The 14,207-nt window shown below is 36.7% G+C and overlaps 1 protein-coding gene across 4 annotated transcripts in view; it reads left to right on the plus strand.

The window, feature by feature from the left end:
• CDK14 (cyclin dependent kinase 14) overlaps positions 1-14,207 on the plus strand; it is a 614,270-nt gene that overhangs the window by 321,168 nt on the left and 278,895 nt on the right. For all 4 annotated transcript variants that reach the window (NM_001287135.2, NM_012395.3, NM_001287136.1 and 1 more), the window contains one exon: positions 113-236. In NM_001287135.2, the coding sequence (NP_001274064.1) occupies positions 113-236 (124 nt within the window). The remainder of the gene's footprint in view (positions 1-112; positions 237-14,207) is intronic.

Raw genomic sequence — 14,207 nt, forward strand, 5'->3', positions numbered from 1 at the left:
GGTGATGGTTACCCATTTTCCCTAAATATTAATACAAGTACTTAGCAGACTGTATGTAGAAACTGGCATTTATCTGTGTTCTGATTTTAACCTTTGTCTCCTTATTTTTCAGTTGTTTTTATTTCAGTTGCTGCGAGGTCTGTCTTACATCCACCAGCGTTATATTTTGCACAGAGACCTGAAACCACAGAACCTTCTGATCAGTGACACGGGGGAGTTAAAGCTGGCAGATTTCGGTAGGAAAGCAGTTAATTACCAGTCTATTTTGTCATACTGTGAGAATGCCAGGCAGATGGTGGCACTGCATTTGTTTAGGTGCACTTCTTCTATCATCATAGATCCTGGTAATTTTTTTTTTCTGAAATGAAGGATTTTTTCTTTTTTTTAATGATAGCATAAAATATAATGCTTTGTGGAGTTTTATAAAATTCAGACTGCTTGTTAGAGTCTTTAATAATAAACATAAATCAGATCTTGGTAATATATATTTCCAAAGGAAAAGTCAGTAAAATTTTGAACATAAAATATATGCTCCTTGAGTGAAAATCTATTTTTTGAAACTTTTATTATGAAAATGTCAAATATACTCAAAAGGAAAAAAATAATATAATGAACTTCAATTACTCATCAACCAGCTTCAACAATTACTAATATTTTGCCAAACTTGGAGAAACCTAAATTTGAATGTCTGGACCTTTTCAGAGGGTTGCAGGAGATACACAATAATGTACATTGCCCTGAGGCTTTAATAACTAGAAATCTAGATGTAGTGTTAACCTTCCCAGAATTGACTGTTGTTTCAAGTATTTTCAATATCAGTGCAAAAATAGACACTTATTACTATTTAAAAGTTGAGGTTCTGGAATGAGCATTATAAGTCATTCCTTCCTTAGAAGTCTTGAGATTGTCTTCTTCCAGCATAGAAGCTTTCCTCCAAACACCATGTTTGAGCATCCAAAGGGAAGCACAACCATTGCATGCTCCTTGCTAGCTCCCCTTCTCTTGATCAAGGTTGACGTTTCTGCATTGCCCAGGCTCTCTGTCACATTAGAGATTGTGTTGAGTTGATTCTGAGCACCACGGGATGCCTGATGGCAGCATAACGTGTTGACATTGCATTGCCTCAATTATTTTTGAATACATATTCTGATTAGAAATTTGTTCTATTAAGAATGGAATGAAAATATTACCCTTGGGACATAAAGATGCCTGAGGTTGAGATGGGCTTTTGCTGAAATATGATTATCTTTTTCCTCTCCACCCCCCATTAAATAAAAGAAGGCAGGAAATGTTTATTTATTTCAAGGTTAGTAGACTGTTGAATACCTTTGGAATGAATCTACTTTGTTGGGTTTTATAAATTCTTTTATTCGAAAAATGAAATAAAACAAAAGTTAGTATGACTAGTTGAGTAGTGATATAGATTATAAAACTTTGTCATTTCCTACTTTGATAAAAATGATGAAATTCTGTGCACATTAGTTTGTGTGTATCATTTATTGCCAGATTTTAACATTGGAATTACACTAGGTGGCTGGGTATAAAATCTTTTTATAATAGGGTAGAAAATAATGGGAGAGTAGTGGGTGGAGGAGAGAAGGTTTGCAGTTTCTCAAATTCAAGATTATTGGCTTTACTGTGAATATATTTTATAGTTGGTCAGTGTCAGGAAATGAAAAAGGATTTATAATGATTTTCTTATGGTGTGTTAATATACTGTAAGGTATATGTTGAAATACATTATTGAGCATTAATTGTATGAACATGCATTTGTCGTATATTTATAAAAAGCATTTTTATAAATTTTGTCTGTATAACCAAGGATACAATAGGATTGTATGTTTGTGCTTACTAGGGATTCTTTTTAAATTTTATGCTGATGTTTTCATTGTAGTAGGTAAGTTTATCTTAAAAGATTCTTATGGATCTTTACTTTAAAACTGACATTTTAAAATATCAGATTCAAAACCAAATTGAAATATAATTTTTTAAAATTTAGATGATTTTTTTAGAAAATTAGAAAATGTACAAAGTATAAACAACTCAGAGATGACAAATGATAACATTTTTCTCGTTTGTTTTCCCAGTAGCTTTCTCCTGTTCCTTTCTCTCATTCCTTGCTTCACTTGCATATCACATAGCCTCAAAAATAGAAATATACTATTTTGTAAGCATTTTTCAAATAATATGTCATGAACATTTTCTTATTTTATTAAGATTGACAAAATCATTTGTAACGGCTTAGATTTTTTTCATTAATGGCCAAACCTAGTCTCTATTCAGTCTCTTATTAATGAGCATTTTAGCTCTTTCTAATTTTTCACTATTATGCTCAGTCCTGTACTGAACATCCTTGTAGAGATAGCTATTGATACAGCAATTGCAATGTTGAGTGTTTTAAAGCATTTGGTTCTTATGACCAGACTGCTGTGCAGAAGGATCGTGCCCATGCACCTCTCCTCAGAGGCATGGACTGAATTGTCCAGCTTGGAACACGCAGTTGGCATGCATCCTGTGCACAGAGTGTAGTGAGCAAGATTCATTCACCAACTGACAAGTTCCCCCAATTAATTGTGTGATTTTTTTTGTCTTTTAATTTAAGACATGCAATTAACTGTGATTTACTGTGTTTGGGCATGTTTGTGTGTCTGAGATGAAGGAAACACACTGAAAACTGTAGAGAAATCAGACAGAATAGGATGGTTCCAGGCAGCAAAACAATTAAAAACACAAAGGTCTTAATTCAGTGTTTGATGTGTGAAGAGCTTTAAAAATGGTTTCTTTGTCTTACCTTTTTTCCTTATGTGAACAAAACCGTAAATTTTTGACTAAAAGAGACAAATACAAAGTATGATTGTAGTTCTCATATTGTAAATGATACTACTTTTATTAGAAAAATATATGAGGGAAAAGACTAAAATTTATTGAGTTTATTCTATATGCTACACACTTAGAAATTCTTGCTTCATTGTCTCTTCAAGCTAGGAATGTATACTAACCTGTATTTTTGAGAGAGATGAGATTCAGAGAGGGTTAGAATCTTGCCCAGGCTTGGACATACAGGTTGCTGGTTGCAAAGCTGGAATTCAGATGCTTGATTCATATCCTTCAATCTCAGGTGGCCCAGGGCCTTTATATTTATACATATAGATATTTTCTCTTACAGGGCTGCCTAAGCTAGGAAATTATTGATCGTTTTTGTATGCTGTTTTCTATATATAACAAATATGACACCCATGCTTTATAAATAGATTACACTGGTACAAAAATATGCATCACATAATTTAAAGAACACTTTGTCATTTGACTAATTCAGTAGTAATGAGTGAGTTCAACCTTAGTAGACTTTACCTGCTGGATGAGGTAAACCAGATGATAGTGAATTTGGAGACCCTTCAGCTTTAAACAGTATACAGCTCTGAATTCCAGGTAGTCAAAATGCTGTAACTATTTTTTTTTTCTGGTAAGCAAAGTCGTATTTAAACCCTTACCTGAGCCTTATTTTCTATATGCATTTTGAATAAGTAAATTACACATGATTTAGAATCACTGTGGCTTTCCTAATGCAGAGGTTTGCTCTGCCTGGATATAATAAAATGATAAAATTATATGGAGGCATTCAGACTCATTTCCTAAAAGATGGTTCATCTTTACATAATTTACCAGAAAAGATTTCAAATCCCTTTTATAGCCCGTGTCCTCACCACCTTGTTGCTCCTTGTATACTGTGGTGCAGCCAAATCCCAAACTTCTTTCCACTAGAGGCTTTCAGTTTGCCTTTCCTTTTGCTTGGGATGCTCGTCCTTCTGCCTCTCATGTGGCTGCCTGTTTCTTACCATAGAAGTTATAGTTCATGTCACCTCTTCAAAGGGGCCCCCTTTCTGAAAATAGAATCTTTCCCATTATTATCTTCTAGTCTAATTTCTTCAATAACACTTCCAGGGCTCTGACATTATTTTTTTCATTTGTTCATCTATTTAGTTTTTGCTTAAACTGCTTGATTGGAAGTTCCGTGAAGGCGGGAACTTGACCTGTTTTGCTCACTGTTGTTTGCACTATCTCTAGAACCATGCTTAGCACATAGATATTCAGTAAATATTGATTGAATGAATAAAAAATATACATGACTAAGTGGAGTATTAGTCATGTCTATACCAAAAGACATCGAGATTAAAGTTGCCCCGAGAATGAGAGACAGCGAGAATTCTATAATATAAGCATTTAAGGACTTAGCTTATTTTATTGACTGTCGTGGTGGAGAAACAAAGTTTAAAAACTCTGTGGTTATAATAGAATAAAATCACATTGGTTTCTTTCCCATCAGAGGTCTAAAATTTTACCTTCCTAATGTTGATAGTTTCTCTTCCAGGCTGGTCCTTGTCTAAATTTGAGAGAGGAAATCATTGTAAATCATGTTTTAGATTAATTTGAAAAACAGACCAGAAACGTGACTCTGTAGAGGACATGGTAAGTTCATGGCTTGTCATATGCTTCTCTGAATTCACATAAGAATAGTAGTAAACAGAAAGAAATCACCTTCTTTCAGATGCAGAGTAGTGTGTCTGTTTGATAAACATAGCCTCTGGATAAAAGCTTGTTAGTCCCGAAGGTACAGACCTTTACCTATGTTTTAAATCATTTATGCACAAAATTCACCATTGAAGTTATAGTCATAAATTTAAGGTTAGATATAACTTAGCTCATTTGTTGTGGCCTGCCGGATTCAATTTTACTGTATCTTTCTTTTAGAATATATTTTTAATAGCAAAAACAACTTTATTACCCAATGAAGCATCAATCTACTTCTAAAAGATCCTTTCAACATCTTAACACCTCAACAGTTTTAAGGCAAAGTTTAGGCAGTTGCTTTCATGTAGATCTGAAAGCAAAGAATGTATTTAGAATAATTGATAATATATGAACCAAAGAAAGGGTTTTTTTTTTCTCTCTAATTTCTCTAGGGAATGTCATTAAAACTCTGAATGCAAGTATACATATTTTAAAATCTATTGAACAGACTATTAAGATTACATGTTAGGTATAATTTTTATTTGACGTGAACTAGACAAAGTTATTTCCCTTTGACACATTACTTTAAAGATATAGTAACTCTTTTGAAAAGGAATGTTGATACTTAAAATTGTCTTTTCCCTATCTTGAAACATCAGTTACCTTAATCATTTACATCTTGTTTAATATCCTGCTCATCTCCTCAAAAGTTTTTATTTTCTATTCAAGGGGAATGATAATGACATCTAATTATATTGGATCTTTTTGTTTTATGTTATCACAACATAACATTGTCTCAAGCATATTAAAATTATAAATATTTGAGAGCATTTTTCCTTTTAGATAAACTTTATTTTTTAGAAGCGTCTTAGGTTCACAGCAAAATTAAACAGAAAATACAGAGAGTTCCTATATACCCGCTTCCCATATGCACAGCCTCCCCCACTATTAACATCTGGCACCAGGGTTATACATGTGTTAAATTGAAAAACCTATATTAACACAGCAGTATCATCCAAATTCCAGAGTTTACATTAGGGTGACATTTGTCAATCACTATAGTGTCATTGATATAGTATCATTGAGAATAATTTCACTGCCCTAAACATCTTTTTTTTTTTTTTTTTTTGAGATGGAGTCTTGCTCTGTCACCCAGGCTGGAGTGTAGTGGCGCCAATCTCGGCTCACTGCAAGCTCCGCCTCCCGGGTTCACGCCATTCTCCTGCCTCAGCCTCCCGAGTAGCTGGGACTACAGGCGCCCACCACCACTCCTGGCTAATTTTTTGTATTTTTAGTAGAGACAGGGTTTCACCGTGTTAGCCAGAATGGTCTCGATCTCCTGACCTCGTGATCTGCCCATTTCGGCCTCCCAAAATGCTGGGATTACAGGTGTGAGCCACCATGCCTGGCCCAACATCTTTTTAAAAACTCATATAGTTTTTTTAAGCTGTAAATGGGAACAAGAAGGATGTATATGAACTGCAACTAATATGCATATACTATTCCATCTATGAGAAATCTCTCTGTTCAGTCACCATAAGCCAGATTGAAGCAATGTAGATAGGGTTTGATTGCTAAGAATGGCAGCTTCAAACTCTATGGAAATGAGGAAATTTGAAAGAGAGTTCAGTTTCAGCCAAATCATGCATGTGAGGTAACGAGACATCTTTTAAATGCAGAACAAATTGCTACGCATAGGACTGATCATCTTATTCTCCACTGTTGATGGAAACTTAGGCAGAGGGATTTCATTATGCAAAAACATCATGTGTTTCTTTTTTCCTGTACAATTTGAGGGCAGAATTGTTGGCAGTAAATCAAATAAGTCATACTGGATGTAAGTTAAAATATAGCCATGTATCCTTAGAAAATATTTGCATATGTAGAAAGACTGGAACCTTAAGTAGCAGCCATGATGAACACAGTGGAAGAATTAATAGGTGTTGTTAACAGTAGTAACACTGAAATGAATCACAGTGGATTTATGTAATACATGTGCTATTGAAGGCAACAGTGATTACACTTGAACATTGTTAACATATAGCTAAGTGTCTTAGTCTGTTTCTTGTTACTTAGAATAACTAAATCTGGGTGATTTATAAATAAAAAAATTATGTCTTATAGAGGCTAAGTCCAAGGTTGAGGGGCTCCTTTTGTGAGGGCCTTCTTGTTAGTGGGGACTCTCTGCAGAGTCCTGAGGCGGTGCAGGGCATCACATGGCAAGGGGGTTGAGCATGCTCATGTAAAGCCACTAATGCCATTTCTGTGATAACCCATTAATACATTAACCCATGAATGGATTGATCCATTCCTGAAGGGAGAACCCTCAAGACCCAAGCACCTCTTAAAGGCCCCACCTTTCAGTACTGCCATATTTGGGATTAAGTTTCAACTTGAGTTTTGGTGGGGACAAACATTCAGTAAGTGTAAACGTTAGCTTAGAGTTTGGCAATTGCCTAATATCCCTGCTTTATAGATCCTGGCCCATCTCTTTCTCTACCTTCTAAAAAGCTCATGTTAAAATTCAGCCCAAACCAGACTCCACTACTATATGTCAATATGCTTGATTTATACTAAAATCTTAGATGACAGTAAATGAATTATTGCAGTCTAAAGCACATGTTTTCTAAAATCTTTACTGGAAGCGAGAAAAACTGACCAGCTACTATGGGAAATGTAAGACATGCTGTAAATTCTGGTTAGACATTTTTTTTTTAATTTGTGATTTTAAACCTTTGTTTCTCACTTTAATACCACCAGTTCAATATTAGTTTTCTTTCTTCCTTTTTTCCCTAGTTTCTTTTTTAAAAAACCTGCCATATGTTGGTTTATTTAGCTTTGAAATAGTACATATTTATGCATATTAGTATTTTAAAATGTCCTTTTCACCTTGAATAATTTCTTCTGTGGTAATAGATAAACTTAGGATATTAGGACTTTTTTCATTTTAATGAAAGAAGAAAGCACTGGAAAATTAAAAATAAAAACCAATTAAGAACTAATGGTCTGTGCTGCTTATTAATTTTCAATACATGTCTGAAAAACTTTTTTTTTATTTTTACCACATACCGGAAAGGAATCTTGGTGCAAATAATCAAGTTTATAGGCCTAAAATAATATAACTTTTTGCAAAAATTCAAACTTTAAAAATGGAACATCTTTCTGTGAAATATCTGTCAAGATATTTGGCACTCTAGTTTTTAATCAGAAAGGATACTGATATAAAAATGCAGATTGAAGTGTTCATTCCAGTTATGGAGTAGAGTTGTCAGCTGTGGAAATCTGTCCTGTGAAACAATGACCGGCTAATATTGGATGTAGAAACTGTGCTTAGATCCAGCCATAGAGTTGGGAGCAGTAGATGAAATGGGTCAGTGAGTTGGCTAAATTAAGTGCCCATATCATGCGAATGGAATAACTGAGGCATAAGCAGAGGATGGAAAACGATGGAAGATTTCAAGATCAAATGTTTAGTATGGTTTCTGAATAGTTATCATTAAGGTCTCAACATGCTTAAAATAAATTGAGAGCATATTGTTATAAGAATCACTGATACCAGAATTACAAGAACAATGTAAAATAAACTGGTTATAGTGGTGTGTGCCTGTGGTTCCAGCTACTTGGAAGGCTGAAGCAGTAGGACTGCTTGAGGCTGGGAGTCCAAGTCTAGCCTGAACAACATAGCAAGACCTCGTCTCTAAAAAAATAATGAAAATAAATAAATAATGACATGTGAGCATTTTGCTCAAAGAATTGAAAGCGGGAGATGGTGTTACTTTTGAAATCATCCAGTTGTTGATAGAATCATATCATTGGGAACATTTTGTTATAGTTTGTTATTCAGAATAAAGGCAGAAGATCTATGTGGGGAAATTAAATCACTCATATAAGAGAAAAGCAAATCCTTTTACATTGACATTTTCAGATTTTTTAAATTGAAATTTTCTCTAGATTTTGAAGGAACCTCAGAGATTATGTAATCCAGACCCCTCATCTGAAAAATATATATACTTTGGGCCAGAGATGGAAAATAAGTTAACATTGTGCCTGTTACTTAGTGTTAAATTATTATTCCTAATATTATTGTTACCAGTGTCTTTAGAGCCCCAGTGTAATACCCTGTAGAGTATTAATAACTTAGTTGGCACATGCATGGCTAGTTCCCCAAACATGTGAGAAGGTAGGAGTGCTAACTGGATGTTCAGGTCGAAGTAAGCCATGCTGGTCTGATGACCTGTGTCACCTGATCACTGGGATCCTGTCAGGAAGATGAGACCCAGAATACTAGATGTCACTCTGTTCCCAACCCCACGAGTCTTGAGGAAACTTTAAGAAATGATACAAAGAATGCTTCTCACAGTAGACTAGTAGGAAACCTTGTTGGAATAAAAGTTTAAATAGAGCTTTGGTAATTTAAGGAATCACCCTCTTTAATTATATTCCTGGGTGAATTAAAGCATTGAGAAGCCTTATGGACAGGTGGAGGCTGAACTGGCTTTAATAATGTTCCTGTTAGGGCTCCGCAGTGCTGGGCAGTAGCTCAAAAAATGCCCTGATGCCTGCCAATGGGAGTAAATTTTCTTTTCAGATTTCACCTTTTCCATGGTACTGTGCTGTTTTTTACTCATAACACTTTCAAATTAACTTTTTGGGTTATTTCCCCACACCAATAACCAATTCACCAACACCTCAGACAGACACCAACTGAGTGTCTAAAGATTCTATTTATTTCTGACACTAACTACGCAGTAGCACAGACCCCTTAGGTTAAGGGCTTAGTCTGCAAGACTACCTCCGCTTTGAATGCCAGTTGCAAGTCCTGGACTGCCTGCATTTCTGACTGACCTGCTACAAATTGGGCATTCCCACGCCCCCTTCCTTGGGTTCCATAGTTTGCTAGAATGGCTCACAGCACTCAGGAACACATTTGCTTATATTTTCTGGTTGACTATAAAGGATACAACTGGGGAACAGCCAGATGGAAGAGATGCATAGGGCAAGGTAGGGAGGAAGGGTGCTCAGAGCTTCCAGGCATTCTCCAGGGGCACCACCTTCCCAGCACTTCAGTGTGTCCACAACCCAGAAGCTCTCTGAACCCATCATTTAGGGGTTTTATAGAGGTTCATAACCTAGATGATTGATTAAATAATTGGCCAGTGGTGACTAACTCATCTTTAGCCCCTTGCCCCTCCCTGGAGGCACATTGGTGGAGTTGCAGATTACAACCCTGTAATCATGCCTTGGTTCTTCTGGCAACCAATCCCCATCCTGAACCTATCTAGGGGCCTGTAGCCACCAGTCATTCTTCTTAGCATTCAGAAAATATACTCTTATCACTAAGATTCCAAGGGTCTTAGGAGCTCTGTGTCAGGAACTGAGGACTAAGACCAAATATTATAACAAAAGATGCTCTTATCACCCCTGTTACTCAGAAAATTATAAGGATTTTAGGAACTCTGTGCCAGGATGAAGACCTGGGATGAAGACCAAATAAATATTTCTTACTAAATCACAATGTCACACAAAGTTTGGAAATAGACAGTACACAGCTGTAGTGCAAGTGGTGGTGTAACAGAAGTACTAAAGTACATATATAAATATAAATATATATAAAAGGTAAAATATGGGTAGGGTGCCGATTCTGCAGCCACATGCCTGAGTTTGAATCCTGGTGAATCTGACAATTACGTGTCTTGGAGTTGCTCTTCTCGAGGAGTATCTTTGTGGCATTCTCTGTATTTCCTGAATTTCAATGTTGGCCTGCCTTGCTAGGTTGGGGAAGTTCTCCTGGTTAATATCCTGCAGATTGTTTTCCAACTTGGTTCCATTCCCCCCGTCACTTTCAGGTATACCAATCAGATGTAGATTTGGTCTTTTCACATAGTCCCATATTTCTTGGCGGCTTTGTTCGTTTCTTTTTACTCTTTTTTCTCTAAACTTCTCTTCTTGCTTCATTTTATTCATTCAATCTTCAATCACTGATGCCCTTTCTTCCACTTGATCAAATAGGCTACTAAAGCTTGTGCATGTGTCACGTAGTTCTAATGCCATGGTTTTCAGCTCCATCAGCTCATTTAAGGACTTCTCTACACTGGTTATTCTAGTTAGCCATTCGTCTAATCTTTTTTTCAAGGTTTTTAGCTTCTTTGCGATGGGTTTAAACATCCTCCTTTAGCTCGGAGAAGTTTGTTATTACCGAACGTCTGAAGCCTTCTTCTTTCAACTCATCAAAGTCATTCTCCGTCCAGCTTTGTTCCATTGCTGGCGATGAACTGCGTTCCTTTGGAGGAGAAGAGGTGCTCTGATTTTTAGAATTTTCAGCTTTTCTGCCCTGGTTTCTCCCCATCTGTGTGGTTTTATCTACCTTTGGTCTTTGATGATGGTGACGTACAGATGGGGTTTTGGTGTGGATGTCCTTTCTGTTTGTTAGTTTTCCTTCTAACAGTCAGGACCCTCAGCTGCAGGTCTGTTGGAGTTTGCTGGAGGTCCACTCCAGACCCTGTTTGCCTGGGTATCACCAGCGGAGGCTGCAGAACAGCAAATATTGCAGAACGGCAGATGTTACTCCCTGATCTTTCCTCTGGAAGCTTCATCTCAGAGGGGTACCTGGCTGTATGAGGTGTCAGTTGGACCCTACTGGGAGGTGTCTCCCAGTTAGGCTACTCGGGGGTCAGGGACCCACTTGAGGAGGCAGTCTGTCCGTTCTCAGATCTCCAGCTGCATGCTGGGAGAACCACTACTCTCTTCAAAGCTGTCAGACAGGGACGTTTAAGTCTGCAGAAGTTTCTGCTGGCTTTTGTTCACCTATGTGCTGCCCCCAGAGGTGGAGTGTACAGAGGCAGGCAGGCTTCCTTGAGCTGCAGTGAGTTCCACCCAGTTTGAGCTTCCTGGCTGCTTTGTTTACCTACTCAAGCCTCAGCAATGGCGACGCCCCTCCCTCAGCCTGGCTGCTGTCTTGCAGTTAGATCTCAGACTGCTGTGCCAGCAGTGAGCAAGGCTCTGTGGGCATGGGACCCTCTGAGCCAGGCGCAGGATGTAATCTCCTGGTGTGCCGTTTGCTAATTCCATTGGAACAGCACTGTATTAGGGTGGGAGTGTCTCGATTTTCCATTTTCTCGATTTTCTGTCACGGCTTCTCTTTGCTAGGAAAGGGAATTCCCCGACCCCTTGCACTTCCTGGGTGAGGCGATGCCCCACCCTGCTCCGTGGGCTGCACCCAGTGTCTGACAAGCCCCAATGAGATGAACGTGGTACCTCAGTTGGAAATGCAGAAATCACCCATCTTCTGCATTGCTCATGCTGGGAGCTGCAGACTGGAGCTGTTCCTATTCGGCCATCTTGGAACCTCTGGAACCTGTTTTAAATGGACTGATTTTTAAATCATTGTCTTGCATATTTCATGGTGATGGTTATTTGACTATTTTAAAGTATAATTACTGGGCAAGGGACGATTTTAAAAATAGTTCTTTACATATCAATGTTAACAACTTTTTGTTGTTTGTAGCTCAGATTTTAAAGTATCTCTATCACAGTGCTATTCAGTTTAGCTTTCCTGGCAAAAGAAGTGAGAATAATTTAATAAAAGGGAATCATTCTTGTAGTAAACAGTTTTTATGATAGATTTATATTATTCATGCCATGCTTTGAGAATAAAATTATACTTCATGTTAATTCCTTTAAGAGACAGAACATTTTGTTTGCTAAGCAGGAATCCATTGGTGTACTTTTATTCCTCATAAACAGCTTAGTGTTTCTGCCAAATGTTTTCATTCACAGAGACCTGTGAGATAAGAAATTTTGTGGATCACAAGAAAATTTAGTCCTGAAGAAATGCATAATTACACCTTAGTGTATACTTTAAAGAAGAGTAAGCTATCATCTAGAGTGAACACTACTACTGCTGTCCAATTTCAATGTTTGTTGTCTCTTAAGGGTAGTTCTTGCTGCAAATATTACTTTTTATATTAGCATGAAACACAGAAATCTACATGTAAAATGGCATATTGATTTCTTGAAGTCTTTAGAGATTTGATGCTCTGTTCAACAGTAAAATTAGTTTATAAGAAAACAGTGTACAGACCATTATATTAATAGCTTGTTTTTTAGGACATTTTGGTAGTGTTTTTTTTTTCTTAATTAGATTGTTACCAAAGTTCATTTGACCAGTCTTTAAATCTCAAGAGTAAACATATATAAGTGGAAATATGCATAAATGAAGGAGTATTCTTGTAATTGTCAGTAAAAAAAAATGCATAGATTGCCAAAATGTATGATTTGAAATAATGGTAGATTGTGGATTCCTTAGCAGATTGATAAATCAAGTGCTTTGTCACATGTATCCTTCATTACAGTAAAAATATCAGTTCCCTACATTTTGTCAGCCTTGGCTATAGATAGCAAAGGGAGTCACTTCTTAAATTTTGAAAGATGCCTGTGTATTTGACCTTCTATGTGAATGACATGTCTGTGGTCTGCCTTGGATATGGGTGATATGGGCATCTGTACTGTGCAGTGTTATAGCACAGGCTAAGCTTTTTTTTTTTTTTTTTTTTTTTTGGTCAAGCTCAAGGTGTAGACTTCAGTGTCTGAGGGCATTCTTATTTTTGAACACTGAATTCAACATTTGTAAGCATTCTGGTTTTTGAATCATAGAAATGTTTGATCTGCAGCACTTGACATTAGATTGCTTTTAGGAAGCAAAATGGACTCAAACTTCAGTCATTTCTAATAATAGTAAGAGCCTATTACAGTTTATGAAGTGCTTCATAGCTCTTACTTTGTTTTATCCTTATAATCCTGTGGAGTAGAGAGTGCAGGTCTCATTACCCCCTCTTTAATGTGAGAGCATTGATTTGTGCTTGTAATATTAGCTTTATTTAGGCATTAGAATGACCAATATTTTAACATGGGCATTTCTGTTGAGTCTTCAGACTTGAAGGTAATTCATTTGAAATAATCTTATAAGATCATATCATATGACTTCTTGTACATCTTTTAAATAACAACATGAAGAGCTTTCAAGTAGTTCTGATTTTTATTATGATCAGTGATTTTTTAAATAGGTATATTACAGATAAGTAAGTTTTGCTATCTAGCACTGTATCAAAGAATAGCTATAAATGAGCTCCTTGATCTCCCTCAATAATAAAATTTAGACTAGTAACTGGAATTAGTGCTATTAAAATTCAGACATAGTATCACTTTACTTTGAAATGCACCTAAGTTGAGAAATTTTGATGCAAATTTGAAATTGCCTTTGAATCACTGAGTGCCAGATTAAACATAGCACTTTTACCCACCAGTTCTAAAGGGCTATCTGTAAATTGAAAGCACAAATGTTGAAGGCAGTAAAACATTCTAGAATGTGCAAGTTGGCCCTTTCATTGCCAAAGAAGTAAAGTTTCTGGAAAGCAGGAAGACATTAAAAAACAAAAACAGAACTCAACACCTTTTAAAGTGATGGATGTGATGTCAAACAAGGTGCTCATTGGACTCTACTCCATTTCCTTTCCTCTGCAAGCTGCTCTGTCCTTCTGCCTCCAGCCTCCTGACAGTCCCTGTCATTGCTGGTGAGAGGTGATGTGTATGGCTGATGTGATGGGGGAAGGAAGGGATAAGAGAGGAAAACTACTGTTTTGTCTTCTTCATAGCTGTAAATTATTTTCTTGAGAAACGCAATTGCAGAATTTGTTCATAAA

Source organism: Homo sapiens, chromosome 7 (assembly GCF_000001405.40).
Source record: "Homo sapiens chromosome 7, GRCh38.p14 Primary Assembly".
NCBI classification, from domain to species: Eukaryota; Metazoa; Chordata; class Mammalia; order Primates; family Hominidae; genus Homo; species Homo sapiens.